This window comes from Homo sapiens, chromosome 4, assembly GCF_000001405.40.
Source record: "Homo sapiens chromosome 4, GRCh38.p14 Primary Assembly".
In the NCBI taxonomy this organism is placed as follows: Eukaryota; Metazoa; Chordata; class Mammalia; order Primates; family Hominidae; genus Homo; species Homo sapiens.
In genome coordinates this window covers 12,570,759-12,589,025 of record NC_000004.12, presented here as the reverse complement: position 1 = coordinate 12,589,025, position 18,267 = coordinate 12,570,759, and the positions used below count along the sequence as shown (strand labels likewise).

Below are 18,267 nucleotides of genomic sequence, written 5' to 3'. Positions count from 1 at the left end.
TGGCCCAACATGTCAATAATGCCAAGACAGAGACACTCTAGTTAAATCCTGATTATACTGATTATATGAATAATTTGAAAGAAACAATCTTTACAATAGTCTGTCTTACTTTCTCTTGCATCATTTGCTTTGGAGAAATCCATGTTATAAGGGCATTAAAACAGTCCTGTGGAATGGCTCACATTGGAAGTCCTACCAACAACTGGCCAGTAGTGCCTGTCCCTGTGGTTGAGTCATCATGGAAGTGCATTCTTTCTCTTCATCAAGGCAAGCCTTTAGCTGACTCAAGTCTGGCCAGTATCTTGACTTCAAGCTCATGAAAAGCCCTGAGACAGAAATGCTCAGCTGAGGAACTCCCAATGCCTGACCCATAGACTCTACTTGTGATAATGAAACATATTTGGCTTCAATCCTCCATGTTTTGAAGTACATTTTTATGCAACACTTGGTAGTTAATATATTGCTGCTGACCTGCCATGTTTTCAACACCCGCTCAATTTCGTTTACTATCTCTGGGAGGCAGTGATTGTTTAAGATTTCTTCTGAAGTGTGACATTCGGAATCTATGCAACAAACTCTCTACAACCAGAGGGAGTTAAAAGGGGGATGGAAAGAGTGGAGTTTACTCCAAGGATAATAATTTAATCAGTTCAGAGAACTGAGTCCATTGTTTTTCTCAAAAACATCTAATATGGTGGACTATTGGATTATTAGCTAACTCTTTTTAGTCTACAGGCCCAATCAACCTATGTCATGGAAAAATCCTGTTTTATAGAAAACATCAAATTCTGTTACACCAGTAAAGATTAGCTCTTTACCTTTTCCCTAGTGGATTTGTATGGTTTGAACAGAATACCAAACTCATAGATATTTCATTATTTCTGAAATGGTGTTACTGCAAAGGCACTTTTTGTTCTCACAGAACTTCATCTGTCTAGAAAAAGTGTTTCTATTTCTCTTCCTAATCTCAACCAGAGAGTACATTAATTCAGATGACTAGTTCTTATTTTAATCACATTCAAATGAGCCCTTCTGGGATGTGACACACTGTTAACATTTATAGTATAAATTATTATTTAACAACCAACAACTTGGTAATAACTGAAATGTGTTGGTGTTAAGATGATAATAGTGATTTGATGAACACTGTGATAATAAGCTGAGGGTTTTTTTTAAAGCTAACAGATCAGTTTGGAAAACAATAAATATAGAGATAAGGAAATGATTGTCTTGTATGAGCTACAAAGGACAGCTGTCTGACAATAAAATCAAGTGTGTTTACCATAAAACACAACTAAAGAATTTTGGCAGGAAGGTAAATTTTTTAGAATTCCTTTGGACATTCTACAGTGAAAATAATTTCATTCAAAATTCTCTGAATTGGAATATAGAAAGCCCTGCAATTGAATTGCTGGTAAAATATTAAGACTGTCAGATTCCGGGTCCATGTTAGGATCACCAGCCTGGACATTTTGTATTAAGGTTAATCTAACTCCTTGTTCAAGTATGTCCATCTTACAGTTAACTCTGGGTCCCTGAATGACACGCAGAATGCATTATTCATCTTCTGTTTATGCTACATTGTTGACCAAACAGAAGGCACTCAACCAATGTTAGTTAAAGTTAGAAATAAGGGCGGGAAGAGGGAGAAAGAGAATGTCATAAAATAAAACATAAAATGGTCCACTCAGTGATGGATCTTGAGAATGTTCTGTCATTGATGTATAAATATTCACTGAACATTTACAGTTTCAGAACCTAGGTAACAAAGAGAACATTCCCTAGTCCCAGCCTTAAGTAGTTTATAGGCAGAGGTAACTGAAAATAAATACATCACAAGCGTATAGTTAATATTATGATAGGGCCTTAGGGAATACAATTATGGAAAGACAAAAAAGGTACTAAATACTTTCATCAGGGAAATGAATCTTCCTAAAAGTTGTCAGGTAGCAAAGGGCAGAAGGCTATTAGAAAGAGGAATAGTGTCTGCAAGGCCGAGAAGTATGTAAAAGACTGATTCTTTTGGACTTTTGGAGACAATAGCACATTTGCGGCATTTTTTGTTTGTTTTCCTTACTTGTTTCTCTCCTTTCTGTGAGATAATTTGCAATTCCAAGTGTTTTTATGTGACTTATGGTGCCTCAGTCTAGTAGATGTAGACAGCTGCACACCTTTGATGTCAAGGTTGGCCCTGTGACTTGTGTTCAGTGGAGAGGCAATGGAAGTGACCTTGTCATATCCAAACAGAAGCTTTCAGAACCCTCGCCTGGTGTGGATATTGTTTTCTTTTCCTTGTACCATGAGACTCACTCAAAGGTTGGTTTTTAAAGCTTGATTGCAGAGTGGAAAGAGACTGGGAAGAACACAGCAAACTACGGCTCCTAAGATGTAATACAGGAAAGAAACTTTTGTTGCTGGAAGCCACTGAAATAGAGGAGTGGTTGTTTATTATCATAGCATAATCTAATGAAAGCTTACTAAAGCAGTGATCAACATTATAAACCTTACACATTGCCAACGGCTATGGCCATTCTAAGTGTATAATTATGCTGCCTGTGGTCATCATTGTGAGAGTATAAGCACACACACACACACACACAACATTCAAATCGATGTGCAATTAAAGTGCAAACCAAATGTCTTGAATAATTCATGCACATATCTCACTGGAATCTCACATTTACATGTCTTTGCCAGTTATGGCCTGTATCTGTAAATCTCACAGAAATTGTTTCTGTTATTTATTAATAAAAATCACAGACAATCGTGAATATACTGATTTTAAATTTAATTTCAATCAGCTATCCTGAATTATAATATAATTATGAGTTAGAATATAATGATATTTATTTTAGGTTTAAGATTGTAGATTAGAAGATAACTAGAGTGCATAAAAGAACAGCTGGGGTGTATTGTATCATTTAGTTAAGAAGGAGCTGGGATGCATCCAGGATTGACTATAATGGCTTGTGATGGTCATCCAGGTTCATGGAACACAATAGGGTTAAAGCATAAGGCCAAGCTGACTCCATCAAGAAAGATCTCACCCACTTATATTCATGCTTTGAACAATTGAAAGTTTCTCAATATTTGTAATTGAAATACCTTTTCTCTAGACAACTCATTGTGTACCCAGTAATGTGTATCTACATTGTGCATCCTATAAGCAAATGACATGCACCTTCATGAAAGTCTGTTGAAAGCCCAAAGCTGAGTAAAGCAAGAAGAGGAGAGGACATCTAGTTACAGCATCATATAGCAGGCTTCATGGTGGTATCCATGGCATTTTTAGAATACTTTAAACATAAAGCAGATCCCCTTTTCCTTTTAATTTTAATTCACATATAAAACAACTCTACTTTTTAAAGGGGACAACTCAGTGGCTCTTAGAATGTTCACAAAGTTTTGCAGTCATCACGATAATCTAATTCCAGAACATTTTCAGTGTCCCAGAAAGAAATGCTGTACTCAGGCCTGGCTCAGTGGCTCACAACCTGTAATCCCAGCACTTTGGGAGACCAAGGTGGGTGGATCACCTGAGGTCAGGAGTTCAAGACCAGCCTAACCAACATGGCGAAACCCCGTCTCTACTAAAAATACAAAATTTAGCCGGGCATGCTGGCACACTCCTATAGTCCCAGCTACTCAGGAGGCTGAGACACAAGAATCACTTGAACCTGGAGGGCCGAGGTTGCAGTGAGCTGAATTGCACCACTACACTCTAGCCTGGGGGGCAGAGTGAAACTCCATCTCAAAAAAGAAAAAAAGAAAAAAAAGCTGTCCTCATTAATGTCACACTCCATTACTTCCTCTCCCAGCCTCTGCAAAACCACTAATCTACTTTCTGTCACAAAGGATTTACCTATTCAGAAGAGTTTATATGAACGGAATCATACAATATGTGACCTTTCATGTCTGGTTTTTTCATTTATAATAATGGTTTCATGGTTCATACATGTTATAGCATTCATCAGTACTTCATTATTTTTAAGGCTGAATAATATTCTATTTTATGGATGTTTGTTTACGCATTCATCCTTTGATAAACATGACTTCAGCTTGTTTCTGTTTTTAGCCATTATGAATAATACTGATCTGAATATTTGTGTATGAGATTTTTATGGATGAATGCTTTAACTTCTTTTGTGTATACATGAACAATTGCAATTTCTGGGTCATGTAGTAACTCTATGGATAATATTTTGAGGAACTTTTGAACTGTTTCCCAAAGTGACTGCACGTTTTTTTTTTATTTCAACCAGGAATGTATGCGGGCTCCAAATTCTCTACATCCTGTCTATAATAACACATGTCATTGTCCACCTTTTTGATTATGGTCATCCTACTATGTGTGAAATGGTATCTCATTTCAGCTTTGATCTGCATTTCCATGATGACTACTGATATTAAGCTTCCTTACCTGTGCTTCTTGGCCGTTAGTATATTTTCTTTGGAGAAATGTCTATCTAAACATTCACATTTTTTAAAAAAACTGGGTAATTTGTCTCTTTATTTTTTTAAATTCCATTTTTAAAGATTTTATTTTTTAATATAAGCCTCTGGGTCACAGCAAAATTGAGAGGAAGGTACAGAGATTTCCTGTATATCCTGTTCCCACACATGGATTGTCTCCCCTGTTAGCAACACCCCAAAAGGCATATAATGTTTATTCCAACTGACAAACCTGCATTGACACATGGTTGTCAGCCAAAGTCCACAGTTCACATTACAGTTCACTCTTGGTGTTGTACATTCTATGGTTTTGGACAAATGTATAATGACAGATACTCACCCTTATAGTATTCAGAATATTTTTACTTCCATAAAAATTCTGCAAGCTCCGCTAATTCATTCCTCACTCCCCACTAGCCCCTGGCAACTACTGTTCTTTGTACTAGCTCTACTAGTTTTGCCTTTTTCACAAAGTGATATAGTTGTAATATCTTTTATTCTCATGTTGTAAAGGTTCTTTAAATATTCTGGACACTAGACCCTTATTAAATATATGATTTGCAAATGCAGTCTTCAATTTTATGAATTATATTTTTACTTTCTTGATGTCATCCTTTGAAGCAAATTTTTTTTTAAACTTGGTTTCTATTTCTTTTTTCCCATTTTTGCTGTTGACTTCGGTGTCATAACCAAAATTCAGTTTGTAATCCAAGGTCACATACGCTTATTCACCTTTATTTTAAAAAAATTAATTGTGTAGTTTTGGTTCCTACATTGCTTTTGATTAAGCTTTTGTGTATAGTACGAGGGGGAGGTCCGACTTCATTTCTCTGCACATGAATATTCAGTTGTGCCTGCACCATTTGTTAAAAAGACTTTTCTTTCTCCCATTGAATTGTCTTAAAACCTTTATCAAAAATCAATTCACCCTAAATATATCAGCTTAATATGGACTCTCAATTCTATTACATCAGTCATGCAAACATTATTTTTGGAAGGAGGGATGGGAAAGAGCCACTGTTTCTCACTGAAGTGGTTTCATGACAGTAGAAAGAGGGAGGATATGAGTAGTTGCTGTAATCAAGTATTGGTGGCCAGCACACAGGGGCGATTTCCTCTCATCCTTTACTTTAGTTATTCCCACAGGGTGAGTTCATCACTGAAAGGCATTTCTTAAAGTGTGAGCACATATTTTCTGAAAAAATGTAGCAGACACATAAAATGTTCATAACTGTTTTGGCAGTGGGCAGAGCACCACACAAAAGACACAGGAAGATTATTCAAACAGAATATTACCTGGGACACAGCTTGAATTATTTGTGATGACGTAAATAGCTTTGTAGACAAAAGATAAAAAGTAACACATTTTGTACCCATGATAATATAGTTTATTTTTATAGTGTTGTTATGTTAAAATACAGTAAGACTATATTCAGATTACAAAAATTTATAAAATACCATAAAAGTAAATATGAAAATTTAAATATATGCATAATTTAACTGTCAATGTGCTGTTGTCTTTCATTTTATCCCGTGTTCTCTTATGTTACCTTATAACCAGGCATTATATGCATATTTTTACTTTTATTTATATGTGCATTTATAATTTAATAAAATTGACATCATATTATTTATATATTATTTTCTATCTCTTTAGTACATTATTTGAATATGTCTAGATCACTTAATATTCTTGAAAAATATTATTCTATAGTTATCTTTAGCTTACTAAATTATTGCTTGTTCAGTCTTTCCCTCTTTGAGGGATTATGAATTGTTTTCTTTTTTTAATTTTGCTAATATAATAAAAGCAGAAATATTTATCACTTTAAGATTAGTTAGCCAAATTTTGAATTTTTAATGGCATATTCTTTAAAGTGGTTTTTATCTTTTGGATGTTATTTAAAATATTTTATTAATCTGGGGAACTAGTCCCATTGCTGGCAAAACTTTTATCAATCACACTGGAAATTATATTCTATTTACACTTTAGCTTTTATGTCATCATTATTTTTCTCCTAGTGTCACTGTACACTGTGCATTTTCAGTATTTTTTTCAGATCTTTAAATATTAAAATGTTCTAAGTCTTAGTTCATAAACTGTTCTTTGTCAGGTTTTACTCCAGGTCATCTGAATGTGCTTATGTGCTGCTTTAACCCTGATGACTCCAAAATGTGTATCTTAAGTCCTGATTGTTCTCATGAACTGACACTCATGTATCTAGTGGTCTCTGATAATCTATCCAATGTCTAATACACATCTCAAACTTCGCATCCAAACTTCAAGTCTTCTTTTCTACCTGCACTCAAATCTACTCCTATCTCAGTTATCTCCATCTGAGTAAATGGCGAGTCCTAACTTTTGGTTTACAAGGCAAAAACTTAAAATCATTTCGGTCTAATTTCCCTCCAAATATTTACAGACAATTCATCACACAGTGAATGCTTTTAGCTTTACCCTCAGTTGTCTCCTCGCTGATCAATTTCCATAATCTTCACTGTCACCTCCTAAGAAAAAACAGCACCACTGCTTAAGTGTATTCTGCTGCAATCGCAAGCTAGCTGTTGCTTTGCTTCAGTCCTGATTGCCCCTCTCACAACATAACTCACAAACTATTTTCCACATAGCCACATGACTGAGCTTTTTAAAAACAATCACATCTGCAGCAATCATCCAATGTTATCTTTTCTCACTAAGAGGAAAGTCAAAGTTCTTACAATGTTCTACAAGGTCCCAAGTTTTGGGAGCTACCCTTTGTTCTCTCTACCCCCACTAAAATAATCTTCTTGCTACCTCACATACTTCCTCAGCCTATTTCAGTGTTTCAGAAAGTAATAGTATGGGATCTCAGTGGCTGCAGAGATTAATTTGTAGAGTTTTAGCATCTTTACATTATTGAACTTTCCCCTTCAATGAATGAGTTATATATTTTTCTCTCTTTTTTCTAAACACATCCTATAATGATGTTTTATTAAGTGTTCAATAAAGAGCCTGCCCATTTTTATTGTATTTGTCTTTATGTACTTTATAGCTTTTGTTGTTATTGTTAATGGGTACCCATTTTTTTCCAATTATATTTTTTAATTACTATCTGTCTATATCAGGGTTTTCCAACTTTGACACAAGTGACATTTTGAGCCAGGTAATTAATTGTTGTGAGGGGCTCTCCTGTGCATTGTAGGATGTTTAAAAGCATCCCTGGCCTCTACATGCTAGATACCAATAGCATTACTGCAGTTGCAATAACTTCAAAAACCAAAATGTCCACAAATATGGCCAAATATCCTGTGAAGCATAAAATTGTCCCTGGTTGAGAAGAATTCATCTTTATGAAAGTACTGATAGTTTTTTAAAAGCCACAAAAAGCCTATTCTTGTTTGTTCTAAATATTTCCCATGTTCACTTTCATCTTAATCAGGTCTTAATTGAAAATCTTATGGTAGCTGACATATTGTCTGTAATAGAGGGACATGCCAAGTGATTTCCTCAGGGTCTCACGTAGATTAAGTCTATGATTCCCGGTAATCATAAACTCACTAGTTTATGTGATGTAGGAAGCACTACGTAATAGGAAGTACATACACATTGGGGACAAATAGCCTGGGTGTGGCTCTCAACTCATTTATTGCAGGTATACAGTTTCACAAACATAATTTAACCTTTTTACGTCTTGGTTTTCCGATCTATAAAAAGCAAGTGGAGGCAGCTACTTTACATTGATATTGTGAAGTTTAATATTGATGTGTATGGTCAGTAGTACACATTAGAAAATATGTGATTTTGGCTCTTATTAGTTCCCTAAAATCAACCAACTAGCAATTGGGAGCTCTTCATAAGACCTGAAGGAGGGGCTGCACGGGTGGAAAATACATGGTATTTGATCAAGCTTCACTGGACAACACATTTCTTGCCAGGAACATTTATTGAGTGCTCTGTCTAGGGATTATGCAAGAAACTATCTTCAAATGTGTGAGATCAAAACTCCGTCTTAAGAACTTCGCTAACAAAAAACAAGCAAACTGAAACCAAAAAGAAATAATAATGACAATACAAGGTGTCATGTTACCATAAATTACTGAATTTGACCAGCACAAGGAACAGAATCAGAGGAGCAATATTTCTGAAAGGCTTCATCTTAAGTTCAGAACTGATGTGATTAATTAATTAATTAAAAGGAATTAACCCATGTATCATATTTATATGAAACTATTAATTTGATAAAATAATGATTAGTTTATAATTCCAAACTTTCTGTCAATAGATTAAGTCTCCAGAAATTTGCTTATGGGGTTGGCTACTTGAGCTATTTAATAGGTCCTCTCACCCAAACTCCAGAAATACCTTGGAGGGAATCATACAAGAGTTTTTTTCTTAGGCTACAAAATTGTACAAAGTAATTAATTAGAGAGTTAGGAGATATTTGTGGCCATTTGGCGAAGTTAGAATTAGCAGGAGATAAAATGAAAATAAATAATAGCCTGCTGAATGTTGAAGTCTGGTCTTGATAAGGAGAAAGATCTGTAATATACAGCTGAGAACAGGGATAGATTTATCCTCCCAATAATCAATATTTTAATCATTAGAAACACTTCAAAATGCTTCATATAATACTTTTTGTTGATATTTTATTAAAAGGAAGCCTCTCTATGCTAATTCTCAAATTTAAAAAATCAGAGTCCAGGAAAAGGAAAAATAGTAACACCACGTAAATACATCACCTGTTCCAAGTTCCCAATTTTTAAGAGAGACCAGGTGATAAAGTGACTTGCTCAAGGTCACACAGATATCTTTATTCAAAGCTAAAGTGAGAATATATTTCTCCCCAAACTTAGCCCATGATTTTTTTCACTATACTTTGCTCCCTCTCCACGTACTTTGCTCTGTCATCTTTTTCAAATGAATGTGCTCGGATAAGTTTCAAAGACAAACACACCTTCAGCTTCATTTCAAGAGTTTGTCCTATAATTGTCACACCTGATCTCTATCCCCGTGCCTGAACCCAATCACAAGGGATAATTTGAATTGACTGAAATGCCTGGAGTCTGTGTGCGCTGCCATTGACTCTCCTCAGTCAAACTATGCCATTGTGATAGCCAAGGTTGGTCACTGCCACTTTAAATTAGTGGTTTATCTTGAGTCCTGGAGAATGGAAGTCGTTTCAGGGGGAAAGGATGATGAATCACACGGCAGGGAACAAATGTAACTGTGATTAATGGGACATTACACAACAACAAAAAATTGAGCCAACTGTGTGCAGAGATAACTGGAACCACGAAGACCAACTTATTGTCTAAGGTAATGTAATTAACTTCCAGCCCCTCCATAGCTTGGATGGCTGATTCTAGCGTGCCTGGTTCCATTGTACTAATAATAATGACAAGGTCGTGGCTTCTTATTTTAAATACTACCCTATTAAGGAGCATTTTTCTCCAATGCATGACAATGATAAAATGTCAAAGACTAAGATTTGGCAATTTGAAGTAGCACAATTGTAAGCAACTGCTCAGATTCATTCAACTTTCTCTTTTTCCCAAGGAAGACAATGGAAGAAAAGACCAAACGTTAGACTTATGATATATGAGCTTCTTCAAATGTGTAAGAAGGGCTCAATGATTATCATTTTTCGGTGGTTCTTGGGTTAAAAAATAGTTTTCAGAAAATGTATTATTACAGTAACTATGATAAAAAAAGATTTATTTTTGCCTGTCTCTTGTCAGCACCCGGTAGGACAACCTGTCTAATTCATGAAGGTACATTTCTCTCATTCTTAAGAAATAAGTAATTGCTTTGTCGATTAGAAGGAATAGTTCATTTGGGTACTTATGACAGTCTTACGAGTTCAGAAATTATTCTGCACATTTTAAGTAAAGAAAATCATTATTGTTAGCATTTTCATCAATTGGAAACTTGTCCACCTTCTTCAGGTGGCAAAGTTGGATAGAGAGTCCACATTTAAAAAGCTTGCCAACTCCTTTTGTAAAATGTGGAGGCTTTTCAAATATTTGATGCCTGCTTCAAATGTTTTTGGAATTGTTTGGATACTTTCACAAGCAAACATAATAGCAAAACATTCCTTTAAAGTTATGAGTAATGATATATTTGGAATCCCAAATTGCTTCCCAACTGTCAGGTTTGCTTTTCTCTTCCTGACTTTGAAATAATATTAACATCTTCTATTTTGTAGCGTGTTTATTTTTTGTAAATAAACTAACCCATTTGGTACTACCGGGATGGCTTTTAGAGAGTAGAGATGTGCTGTAAGTGAAACAGCAGAAACTTTGGGGTCACCTATAACGGTGTGACTTTCAGCTTATTTAATTATTTATGAGTATTAGGTGATATATTTGCTCTCTCTGGATCTCATTTTTTTCATTCATTAAAACAGGATAAAAATATTTACTTCATAGAAGTGTGTAAAGACTGAAAATGACATGCATGCGTGGTATGCTATGAAAGCACTCAATAACTATTCCTTTCCTCTACTGTCACCCCTTTCATATAAGCTACTGGGAGAAAGCGTTATGTTTATTACCATTGTACTTCCCAAGAAGGAAATGTATATATAGTTTTTATCAAGAACCTACCACGATTCAACCTCTGTTGTAGCTCATTTTATATACATTAGATTATTCAAAAGATATTGCCTCATTTTTTTCAAATAAGAATACCAATGTTTCGGACATGTAATAAGTGGTCTAAGATAATAAGGTGCCCAGGCCAGTGCCTCACATTTTTTAAAATACTTTTTGAAATAAAACACGAAATGCAAGTGTGACATCCGAGACACTATGGGTAAAATTCTCCAATCTGTGTCTGTATCAGGTGCTGTGCTGACCCTCCAAACAGGCATCAAGCTCTGCCTAAAGAGGCTGCTCTAGCACATAGGTAGAGTTCCAGCCTTAGCTCTACCTGAATTCTATCTACCCACCACTCTTTTTTTTTCCGTGAATCCAATTCCACTCTGCTACTGTTCCCAGTGCCATCAGTCTTGTTCCTCATTCTTCAGTTTCCACACTTGCTGGGCCATTTGCTCTTAGTAATGATGAGAGTTCCCCAAGCAATAACTTTTATTCCTATTATATTCCTTTTATTCCTTCACCAAACTCCCTGTATCAATGACTACTGTGGACAAACACCTTTCCAGATTTGACTTGCTTTGATAATCATCTTTGTCATTACTTACCACTTTGATAAAACTCACAGCTTTATCTTGGTCATGTAAAAGGGCACTAGACAGATGAAGAAATGGAGTGTAACAAAACTGGGTTTGTCTCAGGTCACCCCATTCATTGTGATGGAGCTAGATCTGTTACCTGCTGCAGCCTGATCTATTCTATTTCCACTAGATCAATGGTTTTTTTTTTTTTTTTTTTGACAGGATCTCACTCTGTCCCCCAGGCTGAAGTGCAGGGGAACAATCTCAGTGCACTGCAGCCTTGCACTCCTGGGCTCAAGTGATCCTCCTGCCTCAGGCTCTCGAGTAGCTGAGAACACAGGCACATGCCCCCACACCTGGCTTTTTTGTCTTTTTTTTTAAGATAGGGGTCTCACTATGTTGCCGAGGCTGGTCTCGAACTCCTGGGTTCGAACGATCCTCCTGCCTTGGCCTCCCAAAGTGCTAGGATTACAGGCATGGACCACTACACTCAGCCCCAGTGTTTCTTAATTGGGAATGATTTTTGTCCCCCAGAGGACATCTGGCAATATTTGCAGACATTTTTTAGTTGTAATGTTACTAGGATCTAGTGGATAGAGATCAGAAATGTCGTTAAACATTCTGCAATGCATAGAACCCTTCCCCTTTCAACAAAGAACGATCTGGACCCCTATGTTAACAGTGCCACAGTTGAGAAATCCTACACTAAATTAAGGTGCTGCATCATGAGGAAGCAGGAAGAAGTCTCCTTCAAGTGATTTTATTGTCTTTTATGCATGTGAGAACAACTGTGCAGAGCCATGATTAAAAATGCAAGTCAGGAATCTTGAGTTCTATTTATGTGTTTCCCGTTGATTTACTTTGTGCCTTCGTGTTATCACTTCACTTCCAACAACAAACATTTGCTGAGAGGTTTATTTGTGTAACTATAAAGATGGCATCAGGAAGCAGGGTTTTCCTATCAGCACTGACCAGTTGTAAACTTGCAAACATTACCCACCTCACTGTTTATCTGCCCTTTTAGATATAAGAAAAAAATATAAATTCTCTAATTTCCCACTAATATTATAGCTGTAAGAGTCACAAAGGCAGCACCTAAGTACTGTATGTGCTGTTGGCCAAGTATTTCATAATGCAGTGTAAATTAACAATGTATTATAATGAAATATTCTTGATCAACATTATATTTATACTCCTTTATTAAGCTTTTTTGCTTGCCTGCTTTATTTTTTTCTTTCTCTACCCTCCTGGCCCAAGTGTCCTACTAATTACTTGCCAAATTTTAGTTAATATCTATCACTTCTTTCTAGCTTGTGTTTCTTCTCTTCTCTTAGTCCTGGTTTTTCTTTTTTCTAAAGTTGATTTTTGTTTTGTTGTGTCTTTCATCTCTTCTTTACTTAGCCCCTTTTCTCTCCTTTTCCACTAAATATTTTCTGCTTTCTTAAATGTGTTTTTTTATCCAAGAGAAGTTATAAAATAAAAGAGGGACCTGTTAAAAGGGAAGATGACTATCAATCTTACAGCTACTTTCTTTAGTTCTCATCCTCAAAATTGCCGATCATATTTTTAGGAACTAGATAAGTGTGACAACCTGGCAGCCCATACCAGAGAGAGTAAGAGAAACTTACACAAGCTCTATTTCCTCAGAACATGGAGAATAAGCCTGTCAGGCTGTTAGATAGCAAATGTCTTTGAGATCAATTCCACATTTACACGGGAACATGTAAATATGGAAGCTAATTTTGCCACTGCTGGGCTACTTGCTGCCTGAAGAATAAGGCCATTTAAAGTTTGATTTTTACCTCTTTATTATCATCATCTACGTCTCGGAACCAAATACTCCTCTCTGCAGCTGGCCTGAGACCCACGACGTTCCCTGATTATACCATGCGGGTTTCATGTCTTTATGTCTTTACACCTAATGTTTTCCTTTGCTAGGACTCCCTTTTCCTGGTTCTCTGCCTAGAACATCTCTGCTCATCCTACAGTTTTAATTTGGTCCAAGTGTTCTTTGGATATGGCTGACTCTTTTATGCCATGTCTTATTTGGGATATTATCTGATGTATTTCTGTCATTTCTTTTAATTCCAGTTTTCTTGGTCTACGTAATGACTCATCATTTCCGCCACTTACAACTTAACTCTAAGGCCCTTTCTTGCCATCATCCCTTCCATTGGTTGGGGTCACCTTATTCCTCCAGGCTGCCCTTTTTGGTGGGCTCAAGACTGCCCTTTCTACCTCCTTTCTGCAGGGTCCATATTTGATCTGACTGGAAATGCTTTGCCAGACTCTGTTATTACATGATATTCTCAATGAAGACTGTCTCCTCTATGCTGCTGATAGTGAGGAATTCTCAAAGCAGGTGTCAAATGCTGTTTTCTATATTCCTCACCCTCTTGGAAATACACATCAAGGTCTCTAAATGGTCACTGGGCCTGAATAAGGTAAGCATCTCTCATCTGATTATTCACTTTTTTATTGACTGATGAATCACAGCACTCTAGCAATGAACCTCAATGAAATCTTGTCATAAGTTACTGTGGTTTTTTTCCCTTCAGTGAAATGGATGTTTTCTTATTAATGATTTTACTTCTTAATTCTACGCTGGGATGACCTGGTTGAAACAAATCATTCTATGCTTGTGACCAGAGAGGAGAATATTTTGTATTTTTAGTAGCACTAACATAGGATTTCAGCCTAAGCTGCTACTGACATCTTAGAAGGGCAATGCCCCTCTTTTTAGGTTTTAGCTGGATAGAGCCTGATAGAGTTTGGATGTTTGTCCTCTCCAAATCTCATTTTGAAAGTCGATTCTCAATGTTGCAGTAGGGCCTAATGGAAGGTGTTTGCACTGTGAGGGCAGGTGCCTCATGAATAGCTTGGGGCCCTCACCGGGTAGGGTGATTTGTCATCTTAGCTCCTGAAAGAACTGGCTGTTAAAGAGAGTCTGGCACCTCCCTCCTCACTCTCTTCTTCCTTGCTCTTGCCATGTGATGTCTTATTTCCTTCCCCTTCCACCATAAGTGAAAGCTTCCTGAGGCCCTCGCTAGAAGCAGATGCTGTCTCCATGTTTCTCATACATTCTGCAGAATTGTGAACAAAATAAACCTCTTTTCTTTATAAATTACCCAGCCTCAGGTATTCCTTTACAGCAATGCAAATGAGGACTGAGATAGAGCCTCATGAATCAGAAAGGTGATCAATGATCCATGGCAAACAGTAACTTTTTACAAAATTAGTGATGAAAAAGACCGAGTGTATGTTAGTTTTTGCTACATAACAAACTCCCTCAAAAGTTACAGTTGAACAAAATAACCACTTATTGGGCTTATGATTCTTCACATTGGCAATTTGGACTGGGCATGACTGGGTGGTCCATCTCACCTCTGTTGGATTCACTTATGTAACTGTGAATAGTTACCAGTTTTGCTAGAGCATTGCTGGTGGGGGATGACTTATCTCTGCTCCACTGACCTTGCATTCTTTAGCTCACTAGACTCAAATTTCTCACATGGTAGTGACATGCATCAAAGAGAAAGAGGAAAGAAAGTAGTGCACATTCCTAGAAGCAAGATTCAAAGCTGGCATATTGCATTCTCTTGCCAAAGCAAGTGGCAAGATTGACTTGGGATTTAGGAGTATGGAAATAGATTTCCCTTTGTGAAAGGACAGGAATATGGGAAGGGAAATGATTGCAGCCAACTGTAAGCAATCGATTAGACTGTCACAGACTGTCCAAGATACCTTTTCTTATCCTGTCTTGATTTCCAAACTTCTCTTTATCACTGAATGTGAGATCTACTAGCCAGAAATTATAAATGGATGAGTAATGTTTTCACATATGAGATGTAAAATTTACTCAGATTATTTTGGAACCAGGTAAACAAAATAGGGAGGTAAAAGCCAACAGTCTCTGATGTTCTGTGGCTGTGCTTTATGTGAGTTCGGTTTTGAAACAATTAATTTTTGAATTTTATTTTATGGTTATTATAGATTGGTCTCTTTTCATCTCTCTGTCTAAAATTGGAGAATTTCCCTATAATTCTCAAATTATGAGAATTGGTTTTATAAGCCCTGCTCTGAGAAAATGTTCAACATATTGTGACTAATGAATAAGAGGTATAAACCTATCTGTGGAGTTTAGCAACTGAAATGTGATTTTCCTGGAGACTAACTGTTTGTTGGTCTTTATACTTTAGACTGGAAAATCCCAAAAGACATGATCTTATACTCATTTTGCCCTGATTTCCCTTTTGATCAGGAAGTTTAGTATATGCATTTTACATATCCTGAATTCTTCTACAATAATCCGTTACCAATAAGCCACTTACTACCAATATTACTGTGGTTTAGTTATTGCAGGTTTAATTGTCAGATTGTGAATATGACTTATGAATTATTTACAAAGTATGCCTATGTGAAGGAAGAAATCTAAATGCAGGCAATACAAAACTATGTATGAGTTTCATATAATGCAGTTCAATATTTGTGGAGCCTCTCTTTTAAATATACGACAGTTAACATGACTTTTTACTGTATCACATATCTGGCATTTTCCTTATATTACAAAAAGTGTCTTTAGAATTCAAATTGTGATAAAATATTGACAAGTAATATAGAACTTGTAAGTACATTGAGTATTATTTTTCCTATTGAATTAGCAAACCTTTTCAAAGTGAGGTAGCTTAAAAGAAATAGTGCTATACTTTAAGAGGAAGAGGAATACGTTGTCAGAATATGGAAATATGGATCAAATGCCTAAGAAAGCCGCTGATATTTTGTTTGAATTGAGGGTTCACAAATAAAGAGCACCCATCTTTTCTATCAGGGTTATGAATAAACTGAGAAATAAGGTAAATGATTCAACAGAGAGAGGAAGGTATATGCCTTTACTGCTACCAAAGGCTAGAATGAAAATATATCTTTATATTTCTAGGCAATTAGGCCTGCTAAGATTGAAGTCCAAAATTAGACACTCTTATCAAACCCATCATAGGCATAGCCAGAGCTTTTTTTATGTAAGATTGGAGGAAAAGGCAAGAATTTATAACAACTCAGGGCACCATCACATCAAGGTTAACTCAGCTATGAAGCATGGTCAAGCAGTGCAAAGGATGGACACTTAGCTCACACCTGCAGCTCTGCTTTGAATCAAGCTATAATAGGATGAGATGTGCCCATAGCAGAAGCTAGGAAAGGAGAAGGCTGCATGGGTGAAATACCAGATAATTACATCTACACTCTTGCACTCTTGCAGAATAGACTGTAGTGTAAATGCAAGCAAAGCCAACAGGGACAGGTAGCTGCATGCAAAATCATGGGGAGAGAGTAACTCTTTGAGAGGCTACACATTTTCTAAGAGTATGAACATAAAATATATAGGACATGTTCACATGATCCAATTGCCTTGTACTTAATAATATATTGAATAATTATTTTTAACCCCTCCAAGATGCAGGTGAGCAGCTTGGAATGAAAAAAAGTGGAGAGGTAAAATAAACAAAACAATCCACATTTGTAAGAACAACAAATTTGAAATATGAGTTAAAGTTTTTAACTGCATTATGTTAAGTTTGTGGAAATAGAGTTAGGTTAGAAACCAGGAGTCTTGTGTTTAAAATTTGATGTATCTACCAAGTAGTTGTGTGATCTTGAGAAATAATCTCAGCCATTCATTCTGAAGTTTGTTCCTCTCTTTTTTATTAAATTAAGGGGTTGTCCAAAATGACCTTTAAGGATGTATTCTAGCCTATGATCCTAGATATTATTTTTAATACATCTCTAATGTGAACTAATGCCATAATAATAAACATTAGCACATTTCTATTCACATAAATGCCTCTGTTTATTAACTTTGACCTCTCTTTGTATCTAATTCACAGTGGCTCATTTTCAAATGAATGTCATTTTCTAAATAGGTGACAGATATGTATTTCTGCAATGTATTTCATCTTGGAAAGATCTCTTTAAAATGGTGAAAGAAAGCATGCCAAAATATAAACCAAAAGAACTTGTTCTTATTTTTCACAAAATTACTTTTATTCAATCACTCATAAATTAACTTGTGCTTCTAGTCATGCTTACACTCTAATCATACTCATACTATCCTGTCCAATGTGCATGCACTTAGGAGGACCAAATCACCAAAAAACATCTCTTAGGAAGCAGAAAAGAGGACAGAAAGAGTACCAGCTATAAAGGTAAAGCTCATTTGGATGCTATTGATTTGTGTTTGGTGTTTCTTTGATAATTTTAGTATTCTTTATTACTTTCTGCCTCAACTTCAAACAACTGTTTCAAATCTCAAACATTTCCTGACCACTAAGGTTTAGAACATTGCCTTCATGCATAAGTGCTGATTAGCTCTTCAAGGGTTCTGAAGGTCTTAGTACCATTTGTTGCATGATGCTGTTGGAATCTAGGTGGCTGTCAAGAAATAATGCCCCCATCTTCTTCTCCCAGATTCAATCCAGTTGAGCAGTTGTCTGAAGGTAGAATTCTTCACAGGTCCTGGAACTCAGAAATGTCATCAATTAGCGGTGAAAGAGGAAGATAATACACAAAGGTCTTTCTTGTAATCCCTACCAGGTCTATAAATAAACCATTTCATTCAACAATTTCATCAAGAGGATGGAGTATTCCCAGCCATTTTTACAAA

At 36.1% G+C, this 18,267-nt stretch overlaps 2 long non-coding RNA genes across 4 annotated transcripts in view; one reads left to right on the top strand and one right to left on the bottom strand.

The window, feature by feature from the left end:
* The window catches only part of LOC105374492 (uncharacterized), a 153,067-nt gene that overhangs the window by 33,883 nt on the left and 100,917 nt on the right, over positions 1-18,267 (top strand). The gene's annotated exons all lie outside the window — the stretch shown is intronic.
* LOC105374490 (uncharacterized) overlaps positions 18,038-18,267 on the bottom strand; it is a 31,004-nt gene continuing 30,774 nt past the window's right edge. The window contains exon 3 of one of the 2 annotated variants that reach the window (XR_925405.3): positions 18,038-18,119. This is a non-coding gene — a long non-coding RNA (uncharacterized LOC105374490). The remainder of the gene's footprint in view (positions 18,120-18,267) is intronic. The other variant, XR_925404.3, reaches the window with a different exon arrangement.